General features: G+C 40.5%; 1 long non-coding RNA gene across 3 annotated transcripts in view; it reads right to left on the bottom strand.

Moving 5' to 3' along the window:
• The window catches only part of LINC02932 (long intergenic non-protein coding RNA 2932), a 204,101-nt gene that overhangs the window by 167,970 nt on the left and 10,777 nt on the right, over window positions 1-25,354 (bottom strand). The window contains exons 5-6 of one of the 3 annotated variants that reach the window (NR_183376.1): window positions 13,495-13,602; window positions 11,719-11,901 (exon numbers count right to left, since the gene is read on the bottom strand). The exons of the other annotated variants lie outside the window; for them this stretch is intronic. This is a non-coding gene — a long non-coding RNA (long intergenic non-protein coding RNA 2932). Of the gene's footprint in view, window positions 1-11,718; window positions 11,902-13,494; window positions 13,603-25,354 lie in introns of those variants that run through there. 3 annotated transcript variants of the gene reach the window in all.

Here is a 25,354-nt window from a genome sequence, read left to right as displayed (position 1 = left end):
GGTGCTTGGGAGATCTTGGCTCACTTTCAGAGAGTGTTGTTTCTGAGAGTGCCTTAAACAATGATCAGAGGAAGACAGCAGAGAGCTATAAGAAGAATTATGTGTAGTCATTTGGGGTGGAGAGATGGGAAAAGCTTAAATAATTTGGGGAGTCCCTAAACAACATAACTAAAGCTTCAAATACACAAAGATGCCTAAATTGGTTGATGTTTTAAAGTCAAAGGAAAACCAAATACAAACAAATATGGGAAAGTGTTTGAATGAGGAGGTAATGGTACCTGACTTGCAGGAATGACTTTCAAGATCCCAAAGTTGGGGACAGTGGGAATTGCTCTTTTTAAGGTTTTAGAAATTTTTCTCTTGCTGTTCTTATAAAGAGAAAGCAAGTCTGTCCTTGAGAAAACTTGTAAGACAGCCTTCTCTTTAAAAAAATGCTCTGAAAACAGTCAAGTGCCACAAAACTTTGAAAGAACTAAGATCAACTTGGTGTTTGACAAAGCTAATATAAGAATGGTAATCAATCCCTTGGCAATGGAAATTTTAAATTTAAAATAAGCTTCAACAAAGCCTTTGAACCTTCAAACACTTTATGCTTAAGAAATTAATGGGTCCCTGAAGAAGTCACATTTCCTTTTCTGTTTCTGTAATATATACTTCAATTACATTAATCAACAATGCAGCAAAATAACTGACACCAACCAACTTCCAAGTCACATTTCCAAGCACTCCTTTTCTTCAACAGAGACTTAGCATTTTAAGATAGCTAATTGAGGTTTACATAAGCATGAATAAATATTTGGTGAAGCTGGATTTTCCCATCCTGTTGTCACCCTTTGCTCACCCCAGAATGGTTTCCCATCTTTTTTTTCCCTTCTACTGTCATTCCTGTTGAGTGTGATAAACCATCTTGCTGACAGAGATATTCAGTTAAAACCTTCCTTCTGCAGTATCTTTGAAGATGCTGAAACACACATCAGATGAGTTTCCTTTTCAGGCAAATTTTAAGAATCTCACAAGACTGTTTTTCTTCATTGCAAAATCGACTGAAGGGTCCCTGCTTCCCTGTAGTCTCCTATGCTCTGGACAAAACAAAGCAAAACAAAACAAAACAAAAAACAGACATGCACCCTTTTACATGTGATCCTCTTTGTAAATTGGCTTTTGCTCTCATTGTATCTACCCTCAACCCTATCATTACTAGAGTTTTGGTTTTACCTAACTTTTCTCAGAGAAAGTGTCTCCACAGGCCCTATTGACAATTTTCCCTCCCATTTGGGTTCTCTCTCTCTCTCTCAGAAATGGAAACCTTAAAAGCAAAAGGCTTCAGGATGGGCGTGGTGGCTCATGCTTGTAATCACAGCACGTTGGGAGGCCGAGGCGGTGGATCACTTGAAGTCAGGAGTTCGAGACCAAACTAGCCTGACCAACAAGGTGAAATCCATGTCTACCAAAAATACAAAAATTAGCTGGGCATGGTGGCACATGCTTGTAATCCCAGCTACTTGGGAAGCTGAGGCAGGAGAATCACTTGAACTTGGGAGGTAGAGGTTGCTGTGAGCCTAGATTGCACCACTGCACTCCAGCCTGGGTGACAGAGTGAGACTCCATCTAAAAAAATAAAATAAAATAAATAAAAGGCTCCAAACTTAATTTTATTAGTGTAGTATTCTATAAAACAAACAAATGAAAAACTTCAATTTTCTATTTGAGTACCTTCCTCTCTGTTTGGGTGTGGTTAGTGACTATCCCGGAGGAGGCCATTTCTCCTTTTTGCTAATAGTTTACAAGGGAACTGCTCCTGACACTTTGCATACTGCAGAGAGGGCCAGTCTTGTTTTCAGGTTCTTTCAGCACCTGCTGGGCATTTCCAATTTTACAGTCTCCTCTGTGGGGCATAGATACTTTACTGAGGCCCTTGCCTTACTCATCATCTTAGAAACATTTCAGATAAATTTATCTTCCCAAGGTGAATTACCTCTCCCAGAGGCTTTTGAGTTTTAATAAAGAATCTCCTGAGGAAAAAATGAATAAATTAGCTTCTAATGATGGAATTACTTGCACAAAACAGTGTAAGATATTTGAATAGGTTGTGGAATAAGGTAGACCTTTCAGTCATATCACCTCAGCAGCCTAAACCCATACACTCACAAGGCTTATCCTTTCTAAAAATAGTGCTAGATTTCAGAAGTTTTATTATTTATAGTTCAGGTAGATTGCAAGAGAATTCAGTGTCATGAGACATGAGATGCATCATTGATACTTCGATGGTTACTCATCTCCCTTTCAAATCTGCTTGCCACCGAGAGGAAAAGTAGAGCACTTAGTACAACACAAACAAATCATCTGTACGCTTGGTTGGATTCTTCACTTTCCACATGGGTGTTTTAGTCAAACAACTAAAGATGGAAGTTCACAATTCAGTTACCAAGGCTAATCGAGCTCTCCACAGTCTTACCTTGCTGTACTCTGCTTAGCTCGAATCAAGAGACTAATTTCTTCCCTCTAGTCCCTGAGGAGAGAGAAGGGCCTTTCATGTGTTCCTTTCTTCCATGCCTTGAATATCACTTTTGTCATTGTGTACATGTGTTTTGGTTACTTCTTTCAATTTAATAAGATTGGCAATGTATGCAAATAGGCAGAGTTGGATGAGAATATCTACCCACACAATTACACACAAAGGGAAACCGTTTGGGTCCAGATCATCACTAGAATTGGAAACTGGTATTCAATAAAAGGCCTCTACGTACAGAGATAGATTTAGACAGTCCCTGCCTTTGTGCATCAACGAAGGAAACGATGTGTATTCAGCTACCCAACTTGGCCACAAGCAAAGCTCAACACTTCCACAATCTCTGGGAAAATGAGATGTTACATGTTCTTAGCAGGAGCTGACAATTAAGCTGAGTGAACAATCGTGCAAGACGGGGGAGTGGGAGTTCATGCTGCTTAGCCACATGCCTCAGGTGCTCGGCTGAGTGTGAGGCTGAGGGCCAAAAGCTTTCAACCACCCAAGAAGCCGGGGATCCTGAAACCTACAACCCTATGGCACATTATTCTGTTTATTATCTTGGAGACTCCCTGTTCTTTCCAACTATTTCCTCTGGCATGATAAGGAGTTTGTGAGGTGCCAGGGGAGATATAATTCGTTAGAATCAAGTAATGATTTGTAATATTTAAACTCTTCCATTAAACCAGGAAGCAGGTCAGAAACTAACCTTTAAATACAGCCAAGGGAGAAAGTCAGCCCAACAGCTTAAAATATATATATTTTGCAGGAAGCATGGAGCGTATAATTAGCTATAATTTCTGCAACTGCAGTCAGGAAGCTTTATTTTTTTGGCTGATAGGCAATGTTATCTCCTGATGGCCTGGGAAACCAAACCCTAGGGTTACATTCCTGGTTCCCACATAGACCTTGGTGGGTGGTTTTGGGGGGAAACTGGGCAAAGGAGCAAAGGAAAGGAATGGTCAGGGTGGGGCCAGAAGCTGGAGAAGTTGCAGGTAAGGATCAGGGTGATCGCCTCTTTGATTCTTTCGTAAGGAGACTCTGAATTTTGAGAACTGTATTTAAACATATTCTGATTTCTAGTGTGATCATTTCCCCAAGACATTTTTAATGCTTAATATATTGGGCAAATGCTATACTTCTTGGCTCCTGCTGATAGTTGTAGAGGAAGTTAAGTGTACTACTGTTAGAGGATCACTTTTATTTTTGGCTGTTTCAACAAGCGTAGATTTTTTTTTCCAGTGGGCAAGTCTAAGTCTGGCAGAAGCATTAAAAATTAGTAAAGGTGGAAGTGCTTTGAAACATTTGATCTCTTCTCGAGGAAGCTGAGCAGAGGGGAGGGGAGTCCCTCAGGAAGGCTTGCTGTGTGGAAGCATATACACCAACAATGAGATTTTCTTCAATGCCTCCTGTGGCCTTCAATTCTCCCCTCTAGTCAGGCACCAAAGGGGAAAAGCCCAGCACTCCTCTCTGACATTTGATCTAAATCTCCTGAAGTCATAGGGGAGGCTGGGCAAGCTCAGATGGGGGCAATAAAGCAAGAACAGCAACATGGCAGTAAATAAATCTGATTTTTGTCCATTTCAGCCAAGGCTGATTTTGTTTGCTGGGAAGTGATTTCTCTTACCTTTGTTTTTCTGCAGATTGTCAAATCCTGGCTCAGTTTGCCCTGTGAACCACATCAACCAACTAATCATCCACCAAGCAGATGAACTAACAGACATCTAGCCTGTCCTTAACAAGAGTGACAGTAATTGGCATTTTTTAAAAAACATTATCTCACTCAGTTATTTATCAGCATTCTGCAGTGTATTAAATCCCTTTTCTAACTATTTATAAAAATTCCACGGTTCATTTGGGAAGGAAGATATATGATTTTAAATGATTTAATCTTTGAAAATAGTGTACGCTTAGCCTAGCACCAGAAAAGCCCAAATACTATTTCTCTCTTCTGCTTCCAGGGATGATCTCCCTTTGATGGGGATCACGTTCAGATGTGTATTATACTGATATTCCCCAGATAACACATCTTGAATTACAAACTCGGGCATCTTCCAGGTACTGAGGAAGAGAGGATAAAGCAAGAAGGTGAACAAACACTCATTAGATGAGAAATGGGAAAGCAAGGGGCATCTTTCCAGGGACCTCCATTGCCGGCATTTATCCTACAACATCCACAGTATACAAATAATTGCCTCCAAGCTCTGACTTGGTCAGATAAATCTGCTCACTGCCTCATACATAGTAGCAGCCCGAGACTGTTTCTCGGAAGGCTCACATCTCTTCCACAGCAGCTGCTCATCTCTAATGAAACCGTTCTGTGCTGTACTCCAGAGCGGAGCCGCATTGTCCCAGCCATGAATAAATCATTAACCCTATTTTATTAATAAGGCTAAGCTAACAATACTCCCAACCTGGCCCCGCTCTTCCTTTCCTGCAGCGCCTCAGAAACAAGTGCCACACCGCTCTTCCTGTGCGGAGAAGGACTGTGAGCCTCAAGGACTTGCCTGGCAGGATCTGGGGTCTAAGGCATGAACCAGCTGTTGGCAGATGAGACCTATATCTAAAGCCTGGGAGAATTGCAGCTGATGAGAGAGTCAGCTTTAAAGATAGGCCGTTACTCCCAGACATCTGCTCCTTCTACGGTACCCCATGAGGGGAGGCAGCTAAGCAGTGTCCCAGGGTGAAGAGTCAGAACAGGGAGCAACTCACCTTGGTCTCATTTTTTATAAATAAGTAACTGGGATTTTAAAAAATGTTTGCTTAAGAAAATAATATTTTAATATCATATTCCCGCTTATAGAGACCTCAAATCATTTCCCCACTTTGGAAACAGGTAGAAATAGACTATAAACTTTGTTTTTTAAAAAAACTTTCTCAATCAATGTATAAAGCACCTTACTATGTCATCAGTTCTTTTACCATTTACTGAATTGTATTTCAATTGTACGCAGGCCTCTTTTGGAGGCAAATGACAGAAACCCAACTTAAATTAAGCAATATGAAAGGAGAGAAGTTGTTGACTTAATGAAAACTTGAAGAGGTGGGCTGGACGTTAGGAATGGGCTGAATCCAAGAGTTCCAAGAATGTCATCAGATTCTCCTCTGTCCTGTTTCACATGATGCCTCCCATTGGGAGTCTGCTGAGTGTTTTGGACATCTAACTGCCCTCTAGACTAGCTGAGGAATCAGACTTGAAAGGACTCTACTGCTTGATATTTCCATGGGAAATTTCATGAGGAGCTCAATCATGAGAACTCTTGAGCTTCCCCAGACCTGCTCATTTTGAGCCTTCCCACTGAGCATGTGATAACCAGCCTCCACCCAGGGATCCATCAAGAACCTTGGAGTCATCCTGGATTCCTCTACTTTCCTTCCCCTCCTGCTCCAAGCCACCAGCTCATCCTATCGGCTCAATCTTCATAATGTATATGGGTCCAACTACTTGTCTGTATTTCTGTTACTACCACCCTAATCTGAGCCACCATCATCTCATGCTTGGACCAGTGCAGAAGCCTCTTGACTTGTCTCTCTACTGATATTCTTGCTCCCCTAAAATCCATTCTCCATGCTTAGCTATAGTGATCATTTTCAAATGATCATAAGTGAAACTGTGTCTGTATCTGCTTAAAACCTTGCAAATTCATTTTCTCATTGTTCTGAGGTCTAGATTCTGAAAGCAAGGTGTTGGTAGATTTGCTTCCTTCTGGAAACTTTGAGGCAGAATCTGTTCCATGCTCCTCCCTTAGATTCTGGTGGGTGTCAGAAATCCTTAGTGTCCTTAGCTTGCAGCTGTACCACTCCAGTCTTTGCCTCCATCATCCCATGGACTTTTTCCTGTGTGTCTCTGTGTCCAGATTTTTCTTATCTTATAAGGATATGGGTCATTGGGTTAAGCCAGTATGACCCTATGTTAATTTGATGACATCTTCAAAGACCCTGTTTCCAAATATGGTCGCATTCACAGATTCTAGGGGTTAAGGTTTGAACACGTCTTTTGAGGGGACAAAATTCAATCCAGTACAGAACACTCTATGGCCTCCTCCAAATTCACATCTGTCCCATGTGCAAAATACATCCACCCTCTTCCCAAATCCTTAAAAGAATCAACCCTAAGTCCAAAGTCTCATCTAAATATATCAACTCAAAAAGTCCCAACTCTCAGCTGCTAAATCATCTAAATCAAGAATAGGCAAGATTCTGGGCTCAGTCCATACTGGAGTAAAATTCCATCTGTGGACCTGTGAAGCCTAGAGAACAAGTTAACTGCTTCTAAAATACGTACATACATGGAATAGGCATAGAAGAGATACTTCTGTTCCAAAAGGTAGAAATTGGAATGGAAAAAGAAGTCGTAGGTCCCAAACAAGCCTGAAATCCAGCAGGACAAATTCCATTACATTTCAAGGCTCAAGAATAACTCCTGTGGTTTAATGCTCTGTCCTCTGAGATGGCCAGGAGAGTACTGTGGGGGGACCCCCAGCCCTCAGAGAACTATAAGAGGGTATAGCTTCCTTAGCAGTGAGGCCTAAGGGAGGGCAGCAGGCACCTAAAGAAGAAAATGGAAAATATCTGTAAAGAATCCGCCTGTTTTGTCAGGGATGAAACCTGAGGACAATGGTCCCTTGGACTGGCCTTAGCCATGTCTGAAGCTACAAACATTCTGGTAGCCCCGCAAAGCTGCCCTTGAGGGTAAGAGAAGGGAAGGAAGAAGAAAGTTCTATAGCCAGTAAATTGCTTATGCTTGAGATAAGGGCATAAGCAGAGCCAACTTCATGAGTCTGCAACCTGTGCAAGTGCACAAGGCCCTCACTTAGAAGGACCTCAGGATTGGTTTACTGCTCTTGTATTACCATCTTGAAATTCTTTGTATTTGAATGAAGGTCCTATGTTATAATTTTGCATTGAGCTCCCAAAATTATGTTACTAATCCTGAGTGTAAGACACTGCCCTACACTTGCTTATAGCAAATTTGTAAATGCATAAGGAAAAAATTGGAATCCTGAAAAAGCTTTCCATCTTGAAGTCAACTGGAAAGAATCCTGTAAGCCTTGTTTTCCATGCAGAGTTTTTTGGAAGAAGTCACCTGTGGGAAGAAGCTGAATGCTTCTTCAAAGACAGCTAATGGATGGAGGATCCTCCAAGATCCTTAAGCTGTCTCCATTAGTCTTCCCAAAGGAAAGAAGGAGGAACACACCACCAGTACTCACAGTGCGTTCTTTTTGGGGATCTAACTACTGATTTCTGATTGTGTCCCAGCCTGCCAATGTGCTGTAGAAGAAACCCGTAGAGCAAACAGTGTGGCTATGGGCCACCCTGCATGTTTATGAGTCCCACATCACCTGGGGCTGGTGATTCTCAGCATTTTATGTCCCTTTATTTGGAAGCATTTCCCATTGTCCACAGAATATGCTAAATGCAACTCTGCCCTTCTGAACCATCAGTAAATAATTATTCTTCTAGCTGCCCAAGAAAATGAAGGGCATTCAGTAAGAAGTTTCTTAGCCTCTCTCCCTTCAAGCTTTTCTTTACTTTAAAACATATCCCTCTTATCTGGCTTCTATCTCTTATCTTGCAAATGGATAAAGTCATGTTTCTCTTTTCATGTAATAAGATAATGTCATCCTTACCAGAAGTACATTTTCAGGATGAGAAACCCAAGATTATTCTCATCCAATTTTTTGTCATCCAATATGTCTTTCAGGATTTAAATAAATAAATATTCATGCAGGGGGTACAACTTTCTGTACTTTGGGAGTATCCTTACATACTGGTTAACATGCTTAATCTATTTTTGAATTAGCTGTTTTCATCTGCCCAGGCTCAGAGCTCACTTTCCCTATCTTCATTTTACAGCTTTTGTCTTGGCTGTCTATGACAGCCAGTCTCCAAAGATGGCCCCAGTGGCCCACACCTCCAAGTATTTGTGGACTTGTGGCTAGTCCTCTGCCTCATTTTTCCCAATAAGATAGGATCGTAGTGACACTGTGCCAGTTCTGGGTCTGTGCCTTCAGAAGACCTGGAAGCTTCTGTTTTTGTGCTCATGAGATTCAAATTTAAGGAGCCTATTTTAATAGACCAAGCTAGACTCATAGTCAGACCATATGGAGAGAGAAAAAGAGATGGATGTTTCAGCCTTCCAGTCAACCCTGTCAACACTTGAGACAAGTGAGTGGAGACAGACATCTTGGATAATCCACTTCAATCCACCATATTTTACTACATAAGAGACTGTGAGTGAGAGCATCAGAAGAATCATCCAACTGAGCCCAGCCAACCCACAGAATTATAAGGAATAATAAAATGGTTGTTTTAAGTTCCTATGTTTTGGGATGGTTTGTTTGGCAGTAATAGATAACTGAGACACTAATTCTCTTCACCAGTCTCCTCGTGTCAGCTTCCTAGCAGCCCCATCACTTTCATTACCTAGTCTGGAGCCAAGTAAACGTAGGTAGTCAACATATTGTAGACACAAATTTCAAGTGGATGGAATTCCAAAATATATCTTTGCTTGCACAGTTTGAAGTTCTCTGGGGAAGCTCCTTTCTAACATTTTGAGGCCCAGCCCTGGGCTGCCATTCAAGCATTTGACAGTTATCTTATAATTTTGGCAGTTGTACTTTGCCTGACATTTCTGTGGACCTCATTTAAAGTACCTCAATATGGATATAGTAGTTGTAGTCTAAAATACAGAATGTCACTTAAAATTAATGTGTTTTGATTGCTATGAATGCCTTGTCTGATACTGAGGTAATTTAAAAAATGACGTGATGAGACCATTCCTCCAGAATTTCAGGCTGTTCTGTAAGTATTTTGTTTCTAGCAATGTGTTGCAGGTTTTTGAAAGTAATAATCTACAATGCATGCCAGAAGAAAATGCCAATTTGAAGTATTAAAAGGAAAGTGTAAAACATTGCCACATTTATTAGCATTTTGAGGTACCCAAATCTATGTGAAATTTCAAATGCTATCCATTTCCTCATTGTGGTAACATTACACGTCAGAATTCACAGGCTCTTGCCTGCAGAAACGCTTCCAAGGAATTTCTATTGGGTCCTCAGTGAGGGTTTCTTGTCAGCTCTAGCCAGAGCCCCACTTCCTTTACCATTTTCTTCTCCCATGTAATTGATGGGTACTGCTGTGACCTCCTGGAACATATGTTTTCCCATCAGCTGAGGCACCAGAACCTTCTACATGCCAAACTTCTGAGTGTTCTGATTCGTTTCACACTCTGTTAGGTAGACACATAGCTGTGTTAGGTAGACACATAGCTGTGTTTCATGGGCACTATGTTTTCCTGAAACAAATCTTTTAAATTTACTTATTCTGCCCCTGCTTACCACAGGATTCCTATAAACCCACTGGGCTCAGAGGGGACTCATTTTCATGGAAACTGAGTGATGGACACCATTCTGTACTCAGGTCTACTCCTTACTCCTGACCACCATAACTTATCATGGCTTTAGAAGGTCACACTTATCAAGCTTGTATGACTTACCACAGCTTTATAAGGTCACACTTTTCAAGCTTCCTCTTCTGGTAATTTTTTAGCAGGTTTTCTCAGAAATGTCCAGCCAGTCTGAATCATAATCCTGCACTTGAACCCAACTCAGTAATTTGAACCCAACTCAGGTTCAAAGAGGGTTTCCCACCATGAAACATAGTAAATAATTGCATGACACACTGAAGACCTGAGATGTAGGCATAAACAGTTCACTGACATTTCCCTAGTGAGGATTGGAAAGAACATGGAAGGGGGAGACTGGAGGCTAGATATATTCCTAACTCACTCACTCACTTGTCAGTTAACTTAAGCAGGTTAGTGACACTCTCCTGGTCTCAGTTTTTAGATGATCCCAGTAATTTTAGCCCATGATTCTGCCTGACAATCAGCCATGGTTTTCTTCCTACATGCTGAGAATGCACCAATCCTAAAGAGAGACGTGGACTTGGATGAAACCATGGCAGGCTCCCTTCTCACTAAGCACACCCCATGGTGTGATGATGCAGGGGGAACAGGTGGAACAGCCTAGGCCTCTAAAGGTAGGCATGAAAAGAGCAAAACAATAAAATGCAAGTGCAAGACAGAAACACTGGCTTTTTATTGTAAAACAGGGTGCAGAAAAAAAGATGACAAAGAGACATTGCATTAAAACACATCAAGGATAACTTTTCCTAAACTTCCTAGTGGGCTAAGATAGAGTATTCTCTTTAGGATTTAGATGGACAAAAACTATTCCCTGGGATGGCATGGACTGAAAATGTCCTCTCAAGACTTCTATCAAGACTAAAAAGAAGCCTAAATCTGTCTCCCTAAGGCCAGAAAGGCTCTACATAATAAAAATAAAAGCTAAAATATGGAGCCCTTACCACATGCCAGACACTGCGCTAAACATTTTACTTACATTAATACATTTAATCATGCACCAGCCCCATGACGTAATATTACTATTTTCATTCCCATTTTAAAGATGGGAAAATGGACACACAAAGAGCTTAAGCAACTTGCCCAGGATCCACAGCTAGTAAGCTGCAGAAGCAGGATTTGAATTTAGGCAATTTGGGCAAAAGCACTTAAATCATGTGGCACTAGGGTTTCTCAACCTCTGCACTGATGACATTTTGGGCTGGATAACTGTTGTGGAGGGTTACCAGATGTTGTGTGGCATCTTTTGCCTCTATGCACTGGAAGCTAGTAGCATCCCCCCAGTTGAGACAATCAAAAATGTTTCGAAACATTGGCCAAATCGCCCCCTGTTGAGAAGAATTTTTTGGCACCAAAAATCTCTACAGTCTGACAATGGCCTCTGTCACAGCTCTGACCAGAAGTTACTATTCCCAGCTTCCTAGGTGTTATAAAGGAGGTTGTGAGTAGGCGTTAATGAGTTAACATAGATGTAATGCTTAGGGAAGCCTTGGGTTCATAACAAGCACTAATGTAAGCATTAGCTTTTATTATTGCTGTCTTTGCTGTTGTCATCCTGACAGGAAAGGCAGCATGGTGGGGTGGAAGAGAAGCTCTGTAGTGGACAACGGAAGGTTTAGGGAGTGATTCTTTCATCTCTTGGATAATCAAAACCAGGGCTCCAGTGTGAAAGATCCAGCCATCAGAGACCAATTCCAGAAGCCATGGCCAGCAGTAGAAGCTTTGTAAACACAGTTAAAACAGCAGCTTTGTCCAGGCAGAAAATTAAATCATCAAGAAAAATTAATTGCTTTCAGTGAGTTTTTATTAAAAAGTCCTTTTGAGAATATGATCTCTGTCCCATTCTTGCAATTCATCCTTTCTATTGGAGCCTTAGTTGTCCCCTGCCTTGAGGTAATCCACTACTGACTTATCGAAGGACACATCTCATGTCAAACAGGCAATGGCTGGAGGAAGAGGAAGAATAGGCCTGCACAGTAACAAGAAAAAGAGACCAGGCTGATGTGTAAAGGGATAAAACAGTCAAGGGAATCATCATATTTTGTTGCCCAATTGCTGGCAGAAGATGAATCAACAAGTAGGCAGCCATCTTTAACTGGTGATCGAGTGGTGGAGGCTGGTGGATAAGTCAGGGAGGCTGGAGCGCTTACACACCTGTGTGAGGTGAGCACTGGGACTCATTCCAGAAACAACCACGAAGGGCTTTCTGGAGACGCTGAGACACTCAGGCACCCTTGAGACAAATTATGAACTGCTAGGCAAAATCCACCATGAGTCTTCACCACTAAAACTAAGATTGATAGATGATCAGGTTTCGATGGCATCAGCTGATTTAAAACAAGAAACATAAAAAATTCAGGGAACATGAGAACACAGTGCATGTAGAAAGGTTTCATCATTTTTATTAAAAGCATCACATCAGCTTTGTAATGCTTACAGACTTGGAAAAGCCACAGTGGAGTTTCATAGGTTAGGGTTGTGAAGAAATCTACTCACAGCAGTCAAATGACCACTTTTCCATATGCCCATTTAAACTCCCTGTGTGTCCATTTCTTTATCTGAAGTCACAACCGTGTTGTTCATGGTTTCACCTACTTCACATTAAGCATTTAATTTACTCCTCATAACACCTTGAGAAGTGGGTATTATTATCCTTAATTAACAGGTGAAGTGGCAGTTTAGAGAAGTTAAGTCATTTGCCTAAAGTCGCATAAGCAGTCCTAGATACACCAGGATCTCTATTTCAATTCCTGTACTCTTTCTAGTATCCTGATCCTGAAAAGCAGACACCAGCTCTCTGAGGCCTCTTTTAGCTCCAAAATTCCATGACTTTTATGGGCTCTGTATTTTTAAAAGCGTGTCTGGTTCTTAAATGTTTTCTTCTTGGAAAGGTTTTATCAGAGGCAGAGAAGCCACCAAGAGGGCCTATTTCCCTTTCCCTACCACCTCTTGTCCCTCTCTGTCCCCATCAGTTTAGAAGACCTGGAGATGAGCCCCAAATGCCTGTTCCAGATAAATGTTTTGATCCAGAAGCTTTCTCAGCAAAGAACCACAGACGGCAAGCTAACTTTGGGAAAAGATAATTCAGACTAACGCTGAAAGGACCAGAGCTGACTAGGAACAGTCCAGATCTAGTGGCCTTTTATGAGTGAGAATAGAGCTCTTTGGGTTTGCAGTTTAAATGAGATGATACACCTGGGAAGAGGCCACCCAAATATCTTCCATATCCAGTCAGTCCATCACATGGAAGGCAGATGAGCTCTGATAAAAACAGACCATATCACTTCTTGGCTGAAATATCTCCATGGGATTTCAGCAACTTTTAGGATAATCCAAAATTCCAAGCACAGCCTCCAGGCTCCTCCAGAACTTTATCCCTCTTACCGTTCCCAGCCCTAACTCTAAACCCATGCTTATATTCACCTCATACTGGAATTCCTGCTTTTTTCAAACAAGTTGTTGGCTGCTTGTTTTTGACCCTCTCATAATGTGAAATGCCCCCAGCCACAAGATCCAGACTAAAGTCACCACCTCTATAAGGACCTCCATCCTTTAATCTTACCTCTAGGAAGATGAGCTACTTTGGGTTATTATTCCATGTCTCTGTCTCCACCATAAGTCTATATCTTCTAAGTCCATAACTTGTTTGTTTTCTTGTCATGGTGCCAAACTCAAAGTAGGTGTTCAATGAGTGTTCATGTGAATGCAAAAGTGTTAGAAAGAGTTAGTCAAAATGATGTAATAAGAAGGAATTAGGGCATGCATTTGATTGCACTTTGTCTTCTTTGCTTCATCCCCTCCAACTCCTTGGCTCTATTTTGGTACTGGTTGATTTGTGTTAAAATGAATTAATATTGGTTGATTTGTGGTAGAATTTATTATTTTCTTTATGTTTCATATGGGTCAGGGACTGGTATGTCTATCATTCATATAGACACTGCAAATCTCTCTGCACATAGGAAAGCACCCATCTCATGCACTTACAAGTAGGTGTTCATCAACAAAGTCCTGCCTTCTGCAGTCTAACAACCTCTCCTGTACTTTCTCCTCTTAACCTATGATGAGCATTCAGGGATGGTTTCCTAACTTAGGCAGCTCACCTGTTCTGCGTCCAGTCACTTGAGGTTCAACTGCTAAATGGTTCCCAAAGATATCATGAGTCAATGAGGATAAGACATAGATGGGAGAATGCTAAAACAAGCAATGGGGAAAGGATTCCCTATTTAATAAATGGTGCTGGGAAAACTGGCCATCCATATGTAGAAAGCTGAAACTGGATCCCTTCCTTACACCTTATACAAAAATTAATTCAAGATGGATTAAAGACTTACCTGTCAGACCTAAAACCATAAAAACCCTAGAAGAAAACCTAGGCATTACCATTCAGGACATAGGCATGGGCAAGGACTTCATATCTAAAACACCAAAAGCAATGGCAACAAAAGCCAAAATTGACAAATGGGATCTAATTAAACTAAAGAGCTTCTGCACAGCAAAAGAAACTACCATCAGAGTGAACAGGCAACCCACAAAATGGGAGAAAATTTTTGCAACCTACTCATCTGACAAAGGGCTAATATCCAGAATCTACAATGAACTCCAACACATTTACAAGAAAAAAACAAACAACCCATCAAAAAGTGGGCAAAGGACATGAACAGACACTTCTCAAAAGAAGACACTTATGCAGCCAAAAAACACATGAAAAAATGCTCACCATCACTGGCCATCAGAGAAATGCAAATCAAAACCACTATGAGATACCATCTCACACCAGTTAGAATGGCAATCATTAAAAAGTCAGGAAACAACAGGTGCTGGAGAGGATGTGGGGAAATAGGAACACTTTTACACTGTTGGTGGGACTGTAAACTTGTTCAACCATTGTGGAAGTCAGTGTGGCAATTCCTCAGGGATCTAGAACTAGAAATACCATTTGACCCAGCCATCCCATTACTGGGTATATACCCAAAGGACTATAAATCATGCTGCTATAAAGACACATGCACACATATGTTTATTGTGGCACTATTCACAATAGCAAAGACTTGGAACCAACCCAAACGTCCAACAATAATAGACTGGATTAAGAAAATGTGGCACATATACACCATGGAATACTATGCAGCCATAAAAAATGATGAGTTCATGTCCTTCATAGGGACACAGATGAAATTGGAAATCATCATTCTCAGTAAACTGTCACAAGGACAAAAAACCAAACACCGCATGTTCTCACTCATAGGTGGGAATTGAACAATGAGAACACATGGACACAGGAAGGGGAACATCACACTCTGGGGACTGTTGTGGGGTGGGGGGAGGGGGGAGGGATAGCATTAGGAGATATGCCTAATGCTGAATGACGAGTTGATGGGTGCAGCACACCAGCATAGCACATGTATACATATGTAACTAACCTGCACATTGTGCACATGTACCCTAAAACTTAAAGTATAATAATAATAAAATAAAATAAAATAAAATAAGAAATTAAAAAAAAAAAAAAAAAAGAAAATTCCTCTTCCACCCTGGTCATGCCCCAGGACTTTTTGTTCCCTTTCAGGCTATACTTTTCAATACTGTAGCAGCTTTCTGGAATTAATCCCCTGACTTTTTTACTGCCTGTGCCCAATATAGGACTAGGCAATGAACATTCGCAGCCAGACCAGCTGAGGAAGAACACAGATGTTGACATTTATAGATAAAATAGGAAGCAGGCTGGTGGAGGGAGGTGAGGTGGGCCCAAAGTGCACAGATAGACACAACTTAGCAGGGACCCTCACATTACATACAACCTACATGCAGAGCTGGGCCCATTACTAGGCAAACATGAGATCAATTATTTGTAGAGAGCACAATTTGCTGCTTCTGCTTAAAGAAGAGTATATATGGATTCTATAGGCCTACTTGTTTGAGTCAAGGCTCAGCTTTCTCACTATGAAATCTTGAGTGAATCATTTAATTTTCCAGGTCTTAGTTTCCTCATCTATAAGACGGGTACACACCTCATGGGATTGCCATAAAGACTAAATGTGATAATACAAGAAAAGTGCTTAGCACAAAATTTAGCAAGGAGTAGTGGTCACAACATTTTAGCCATCTCACCATCGTTATCATCAACATCACTATGACTGGCTTAAAACTCAAATTAGGTCAAGCAACTTGCAAAGAGAACATTTTCAACTAGGAAATTACCCCCAATCTTTTCTTTTAGTTACTAAGAGTATAAGATTTCTCTTGAAATATGTTGAAAATTAAAAATATATTCAGACTATTTCACATTTTGAGGGCACTATTCACAAAACTGTGGCTACTGTGAAGAACAACTAGTGTCCTAAATCTGCTTGTTATTGTCATGTAAGAAGGCAGCTGATATTTACAGACTTCTACCGACTTCTCCCTTTTGAGTCATCTCAGCTGGTCTGGCTGTGAATGAATATTGCCCAATGCTGTCTTTGGGGGTAGCCAATTGATGTAATATGGACTAGAGGCTCTAGGACCTCTCCTCAGGCAAAGACCAAGACATCTTACTTCTTTTGCACCCCCCGTGATGCAGAGCACAGAATGGATACCAAAGACAAATGAAGAATCCTGAGAACTCTGCTGCTTGCTCAGGCTGCTCAGAGAAAAAGCGTGTGGCTTTGTTGTTATGATAACCTAAGTTTGAGTCCTTCTCCACCAAGTATTAATAGATTTAAAACCTCAGATGTTTAGCTTCTCTGCAGCTGGGTGACATGACTTACCTTGTAAAACTGTGGCACTGAATGATTTGACATTCTTAGCACAGTGCCTGACATATATGAGATGCTTAGCAAATTGTAGGATTTTTTTTTTTACCCCTTTCTCCCTTTTGCATAAGAAAAGAAGACAGAATGAGAGATGGAGAAAATTATCCCTCTGGGATGCAATTCAAAAAATGACCATTTAGATAGGGAGAGGAGCCAAAATAGTCTAGAGGGTTATTTTATAACAGGATATGGGCTCTCAATTCAAGAAAAATGAACTTTGTAAAGCCACGTAGCCTATCTTGAGAAACTTTTTTTTGGGAAACTTTCTTTTTCTGGCAAACATTTAAAAACTGTTGCTTTTACATTAAAAGCCAAGATTAAACTATTTTCAGAGTACAGTGTTGGCTCATTGAGTGATAGTGGGGTCTATGCTTAGTCTATGGGCTCCATAAATATTAATGAAGGGCCCAGATAACAGATAATAATGGTGGTGGTGCTGGACTCGTTCTCATGCCTTATGTTTTCACCCAGAGAGGTTGGCTATGATTTCATGTTTAAATGACTGAACTTCACTGGAAAATATATCAGGCAGTGTGATGTATGTCTTCCTACTCCTAACAATGAGATCTATGCAAACTCACAGTCATACACATATACACACAAACTGAAATCAGTAAAAACCGAATTTACACAAGTGTTTAGTTTGTGTTGAAGATTCCGTTTTGCCATAGGGACTACATGTTTTGCCTTAATTTGATTATTTTGCTGATATGTCTAGATATGTTGGTGTCTCAGAGAAGCAGCTATTATCCCCAGTTTTTCCCCAAAGTTTCTCATATTTTCCAGCCACAGTAACTCTTGCTTCACCTCTCCCCACACTCATACATGACACTCTCAGTTTGCCTGTCCTATTTATTCACAAGACTGTGTACATGTTCTATTAGCAATGGGCTAAGAACTTTCAAATCTATATATGCATGTGTCTTCCTGGCACACACTTTCACATGTACATAGGACTGGATATATTCACTGCCTGCTGCTGGGCAAGGGGTGGGGTCTCATTTCCAGGCTGAATGGGGATGAACCACCTCATATCTTTGACTTGCATTTACATTACATGGTCCATAGGAATCATGTAGCTGTTTTGTAATATAAACTCCAAAGCAAATCCAGCATGTATGCCTGCCTGTAAACTACCCAAAAGTCACTGTGCCCACACAAAATAGTTCAAAACCACAACATTATAACTGAAAATCACAAATAAACTTAAAGAAATGGCCAGGCATAGTGGCTTACATTTGTAATCCCAGCACTTTGGGAGGCTGAGGTGGGCAGATCACCTGAGGCCAGGAGTTCAAGACCAGCCTGGCCAACATGGCAAAACCCTGTCCCTACTACAACTACAAAAATTAGATGGGAGTGGTGGTGCACACCTGTAATCCCAGCTACTCAGGAGGCTGAGGCAGGAGAATCACTTGAACCCAGGAGGTAGAGGTTGCAGTGAGCCGAGATCGCACCACTGCCCTCCAGCCCGGGTGACAGAGCAAGACTCTGTCTCATAAAAAGAAAAATAATAATCAACAATTCTACTTTTTAACAGCAAATAATAATGAAAATCCAGGAATCATAAAAGAAACTTAACTTACAAAATAATCATCTGAATATTGCATGACTTTTCCTTCAAGAAGAATCTTACATAGTAATTATTTTTCTGTACCATGGAAAGGCAGGAAATAAACGTATAAGCATCATTATCTTATATATTTAAAAACCCTCTCCCATGGATGCACTCATGATGAATATCATTGATATCTTTTTCTAAAAGACAACAAAGGAACACCACACATCAAAATTTCAGATACATATTATCTTCAAATCAACAAGTCTACTTTTAGAAATTTATCCTAAAGATGTCATAAAAATGTAGACAGGTGTATTCCCAAGTATGTAAGTTGCAGAGTACTTTTTAATAATGAAGAAAACAACCACCCTATAATAAATACTAAGAAACCATTTGAGAGAATAATGTAGAACACAGTTATGGGCGTGGGAATTTGGATGTTTCCAAATGAAAAAGGAGGGTTTTTGAAAGAATATATGTATGTTTATGCCTATGTGTGTTTATGTGCATACTTGCATAGCAAAAACATGTAGAAAGATATTTAGCAAAGTATTAAATGGGTTATCACTGGTTGGTAAGATTAAAAGTTATTTTCATTTACATCTTTATACCTCTTGGCACTGTATAAAATTATTTAAATTTGGGGGGAAAGACACAACAATAGTGGGTACACACATATTAATGCCAAACTGGAATATATTAAAAGTCAACCCTCCCCAATACACATGCACAGGTCACTGGGGATTGATGGTCTCTCTAATGTCAGTAAGAGGATCTGAGTCGTCAGGAGAGTAAGGGTGAAAGTGACAAGTGGTGTGTCCCTCAAGGCAGATGAAATCCAGGAGAGTGTGCCCATGTACCACATGCCCACTATATCCAGAATTGGATTTACTCATCAACCAAGTGAAACATTCAATGCAGCTCATTTAGCATTTCATTGCAAAAATATGAAACAGGCACAGAAACTAAATCTAATGCTTTATTCTTTCTCTCTTACTTTGATCCCTCCTTTCCTTCCTTCTTTCTTTCTCTCTTTCCTTGTCTCTCTCTCTCTCTCTTTCTTCCTTTCTTCAGATTTCAAATTCCTTATAACCTGTCGTATGGCCAAACCACCCCTGGAGAAAGTGGCAAGCTGACATATTTAAATTTAAAAGTTGCCTTATTTCCTCTGCATTCTGGTCCTGGAAATGGAGTAAGTTTGCTTTGCACACTCTTGGCTACAGGGGTGATCAGCATTCTGTCTGTGCTTCCCAACATTTCTGCAAGCATCTCCCATCTGAGGTGCTGCATTATTTCCAACCTGCCTTAGACTCAGACACTCCACCAGACATGATGGGCCAGTTAAGCTTCGTAACAAGCAGAGCTAGGACATGTAGATTTTATTTAAAAGGACACATGACTATCCATTCAAGATGAAATGTTGTCATCCTGGTCAGGCCTGGATCCAATCTGTGTTGGAGAACATGAAATAACTTCTGGCTACAACAACGAATCATCATACGCTAATATGACCTAGTCAGGTACACTGCTATTTCTTGCCATTTTCTTTTTTATCCTGTGAAGGTTGTCATCATTTCACACACATTTTGCAATGATAAGGGTAGTTCCATTACTGCCTATCTTGTAGGAATGGGGAAGCAAAAGCACTTTATAACTGTGTTTCAACAATTTTGAATTTACTTCCTCAAATGTCTTTCTAACTCTATCCTCTCTCTATATTTTTTCTTTATGTATAAATATGATGTCTTTCTCTGTGACACACAAACATACAAAGTCTGGACAAATAGCCAGGGGGTTGGGAGTTCTATTCCATTTGAATTTTGAAAATGGAATTAGTAAACTCAAAATATGACACTTTCAAAGCAATTTAGAGACAAGGCCTCACTAGACTAATGGGATGTAGGTAAAGCAACAACTAACCTGAAATGTTAGAAACCCCCAAGTCTCTGGAATTGCCGCCACTCACGGATCCCAAAAAGTCCAGCCCACACACCTTCAACCATGAGACAAGATGGCCAGTGCAAGAAGAGACCATTGCTTGTGGTGCCGTTAGGTTGTTTATGCTGTTGTTTATATGTTTTAAACAGCATAGCTATTAATGAGATTATGTTATGAAATACTCATTTCCTTCTATGTTATTGCCATGACACTCAGCGGCAAAGGGGAAACACCCAAATACACAGTAACTACATATGCAGTTGGATTCTACAGACTTTCTCCCCTCCTTTCAGAAGGAAATTTCTATTACTTTCACTTCTCAGGTATGTCACAAAGAGTTTGAGAAATAAAAAAGAGAAAATAACTCTCGAAAGAACAAATAGCACATACCACGAATTAATAGAGCAATAGCAATTGGCAACAACATCCACAGATATTAACCCGCAGTGCTGAGCCACACAGAAACGAGTGAGATTAGTTCCATTTCAGTTACAATAGCAACAGGAACCAGGCCCACATATTTGTATCTTAGCGGAAGCAAAGAACAGATTATAAAGCAAGTCTAGATTCAATGATCAGACAGGATGCCGCCCTGCTTCCTAAAATCAAAATGAAATAATTGCCAGTGGCAGCTTACACTGGGTTCTAAGAGTTAGGAGGCAAATATGTTTGCAACAAGAACCATGGGGAAGCAAAATGAAAATACATTGCTCCAGGTTCTAGGCATTCTCTGTGCTTGGGCCCTGGCTGGCTTATACACAATTTTCAGAAACATGGACGGTTCAAAAGCAAGACAAAACAAAATAGAACACATCAACAGGCAATTTTTGCATGGCCCCGAGTAAAACGATTCAGATCTCCCAAGCTGGTGTCTATGGTTTAATAAAGGATTTAAAATATGCCTTGCAATATTTCTAATTCTTTCTACAATTGAGTCAAAACACAAAGAACCGAAGTTGTAAAAGAATGTTCCGAATGAGTACTATACTGGAAATAGAAATCAAAAGTGGGAACTTTTAAAAAATGAATGCTTGTTTAGCTTTTATACCACCCTAAAACAAGCAACCCCGGTCTGTTCACTTGGATTTGATTTGAGAATTTGAGATCTGCCTTTTCCTACCTCTGCTAAGTTAATCCCACTCCTCCTTCCACTCCCACTCATGGGTCTTTATGACTTCCTCCCTCTTTTACACCCAAATGCAGAAGTGAAGTGTGAAAAGCTGTTTAAGTACTCTTACTGAGAAAGGAAACTATCTGGCCATTTTTTATATTCCATGATATTAAAGTAATTCATCTGCGTTTGCACTAATGACAGTAAATCTCTCTTGCTGACAAGCTGTGGTCAATTATCCTTTCTACAGCCTTTAAAAAACGAAGCAGTAGGAAGTGCGTCAGTGTTGGAAACTTGTGGCTTGCTTATTCAAATGAAACAGCCAACCAGCTTAAGCAGCTCCCTCAAAAATGCATCACCTTGCTGCTAGACCCCAAACAGCTCTCCCAAGGGCCTGAAAATACTGGGAACTTCCGCTGGAATTTACATGTATGAAGGAAATTGTTTAAATAAAGCGGTATGCTATTTATCCCTATAATGAGTAGTTTAACACTGACAATTAGAAAGGAAATTCTACAAGCCAGGACTCCAGTTACTTATTACTGCCACTGAAAGTCAATTAAAGTATCTAACTAATTACAGGGATTGGGATCATCTGTCATCTGGCAAATCATATTAGAGGGAAGAGGGCCTTGGTTTGTTTTTGAAAGTGTGTGATCTAGTCTCCATCATGCTGGTTAATTTTCGGACAAGGGAGTGAATGAGGGGTCTTGCCCCACACATCTGCAGATCTGTTCACCTGGGAAGCTCCAGAAATGTTAGCTGTATTTCCATCCAACCTCAGCTGCTATACAAAGAGCAAGAGTTGGCCAGGAGATGGATGGAGAGAGATCCACTCTGCCAGACCAATCATTCACCAAGAACATCGTTCTTCAACTCAAGAGCCTGTAGTGATTCCTTGTAGCCTCCTATAGCAAGTTCTTACTCCTTTGCCCACTCCCAAGCCTGCTCTCCTACCACTCCCCAGCACTTCTGTCAATCATCTTGGTCAGCTAACTGTTTCACAAATGTTATCATCATGACTTAAACCCCATCTGTGTTTTTTCTCAGCCTGTTAGTTAAGATGCATTCTACCCCTCTCTTCTGCCTATCCAAACTCTTCTCACCCTTAAAGACTCAGCTCTGGTCCTGATTCCTGCTTCATGCAGAATCCAATACAGAAGATCTTTCCTGTACACCGCCTCTGGGGTTTGGAGTTTATCACTCAATGGTTCTCAGATTGTGAACGGGCTACATCTTAAGTCTTTGCTTCCTGCCCAGCATGTGGGATACATTTACAACCCCATAGTGTTAACCCCCTGATTCTTGGTTTCTGTTATTACTGCATTTAGTCTCATGTTTAGTAAAGTGTCTTAATCAGACCTAGCTAGCATTCTTTTGCTAAATTAAATTTAGCCTAAAGCACCTCCTTACGTATTTGAAGTCCAACGTGAAGCTTTCTCCATATATAGTAACCTTAACTGGATATGTAAACAGACTGTAATTTACTTTTGCACCAATCACTGAGTTTTGGCCATTCAAAGGCAGCCAACTGTTCAAACTGTGTTCACATAAGACAAATGGCAAGCTGTAATCAAAATCTGGCTGCTTCTGTACCTCACTTTCCTTTATCTGTTCATAAATCCTCTCCAACCACATAGCAGTGTGGAGACTATCTGAACCTATTCTGGTTCAGGGGGCCTGCCTAATTTGCAAATCATTCTTTGCTCAGTCAAACTCTATTAAATTTAATTTGTCTTAAGTTTTGCTTTGAACACCTTCATTTGTTCACTCCTTCGCTCATTCAGCACATGTTTAGAATGGCTTCTTAGAGCAAGACACTTCAACAACGACTTCTAAGTCTGCGTCCTGGGCATCCTCTCCTACCACATGGCCTCAGTGGGAAGCTGCATGTGCTCATACCACCAAGAACAAATCAAGGAGTCTCTTAATGCTCACTGATCCTTCTTTGGCCAACACTTACAGGGAAATGGCTATAAAAGCACTTACAAATATTAAAAAATTGAGCTCTCACCCCTCAGCTCCACACAGCTCTCCCCAGAGCAGTCCCAGAGCAAACCAGGAGACAAAGAGGGGAAAATATTTTCAAATGATCTTCTGAATGACTTCAGAGCTTACATAAGGTTCAAGTTTAGTTCAAGGGATAGGCAAAAGTTGGGTCAGCCAGCTATGCTAGGGTCAGCCAGACACTGGGGTCAGCTGGCCATGTTTGGGTTGAAGCAAGAACATTTCTGTACTTCACATCCCAAGACAGATATTGGAATTTTAACTTTCCTTCTTGCAGTTTCTTTATGTTTTAATAGCTCATTTCACCGTGGAGTGATACTTCCCAGAGGATCTATTTTCTCACTCTTCCCACTCCTGGCATGTCCTTTGGCATCTCATGTTCTGCACCTGTGGTGTTTAGACTTTGTATCTCCACTAGCATTTGTCTCCAATACATTGTTTGTGGAAAAATGAACATACTGCACGTGTCCAAGGAAACTGAGTAGGAAGAAACAAGAAACTTGACCAATGTGAAAATGCACTAAGTTTTTTCATTAAAGCTTCTTACTATTTTCTGCAGGAAATATTGCCTATAACAAAGCATTGAAAATGGAATATTCTCAGGCATCAAACATAAAGGCAGGATTGATAGGTTCAACAACAGATTATATCACAAAGGACTGCTTAAAACTCTTCAATGCTCCACCTCTCTGACAGTACTCAGCACATTGCATTGAAACTATTGTATTTTCCTTGCAACCCCCACATTAAAAGAATTAAGAGTATACAGCTGCATGTGTTCCTGGTACCTAGCATGGTGCCTGGCACCCAGTAGGCCCTAGTAAATATTTGTATTTGGTTACGTAAGTACCATGTTCTAAGTACAGAGGTTTCAAAATGCCCAGATACATAGTAGCCATCTTCAAGAAATTCAAACCCTAGTGCTGTGATTCCCAAGCCTGAGTGATCTTCAGAACTGCTCACAAAGCTGTAAAAGTACAGATTTCCAAGACTCATCTCCAGAGATGCTAATTCAATAGGTCTACATAAGGGCTCAGAATTCTACATTTTTAATAAGCTTCCCAGATATCTCTAATTATCAGCTAAATTGGGAATCATTGGTCTAGAGGGTAATAATAAAGCCTTGTTTTTACATCTCTTTTCCTACATATAAAGTATTTTCATATCCATTATCTCACTTGATTGTTACTCTTTGAGGGGGGTAACATACCCTGCAGGTTACAAATGTGGAAGTGAAGCTGACAGAATTTATAAAGTTGTTGAATTCAGAACCTGAATTTGCACACAGGATTTCCATCCAAAAGCTCGACAGTGTTTCTATCTCACCAATCCTTCCTGAGAGTGATGACCCAGGTTAGCGCTTTTAAATAAAGAGTAAAAAACCACAGGTCATATTACATGAACAGCTAGTATGTTTGAGTCGCTCTCTTAGGTTCTTCGGGAGAGATGAAGTAAAAGGAAAATATTGCCTTCTCCCCCAACCCATCCCTGAGAATGACACCGTAGAGAAGAACAATTATAGGGACAGAGCCTCTCAGTGACAGCAAACAATGAAGGTTATTTCCTTATAGGCACATTTGACATGGAAAATACTAACAAAGTCAATCCAAACAGGTGCAATAAGCTTGGTTCATGTGTCACATGGTCCTTTGGTAGAGACTACATGGTGAAGCAGACAGCAAACCAAATGCAATTCTTCAACTGAACATGGTTCATTAATTCAGTGCTCTCGCTTTTCTCCGAGTTTTTACCTCCTAGCCCACTTTGTTTTACTCTACCATCTGCAGTGTGGCTGAGATAACTCATTGAAGGCTTTATCCCACTATTATAATATAATCCAATATGACATTAACAGGGCATTTTATAGCAGACATGAAAATTCCAGCTGCCTTTCTGGATTAGTAACACAGCGAGTTTCATTTTACAATTACAAACTACAAGAGAGCAATGCCAGCAAAAGGCACCTCCATTTTCTATGCCAGTACACGACCTGCAGCTTTTCCCTGCCACCTCC

Source organism: Homo sapiens, chromosome 7 (assembly GCF_000001405.40).
Source record: "Homo sapiens chromosome 7, GRCh38.p14 Primary Assembly".
In the NCBI taxonomy this organism is placed as follows: Eukaryota; Metazoa; Chordata; class Mammalia; order Primates; family Hominidae; genus Homo; species Homo sapiens.
This window is presented reverse-complemented; position numbering and strand designations above follow the sequence as displayed.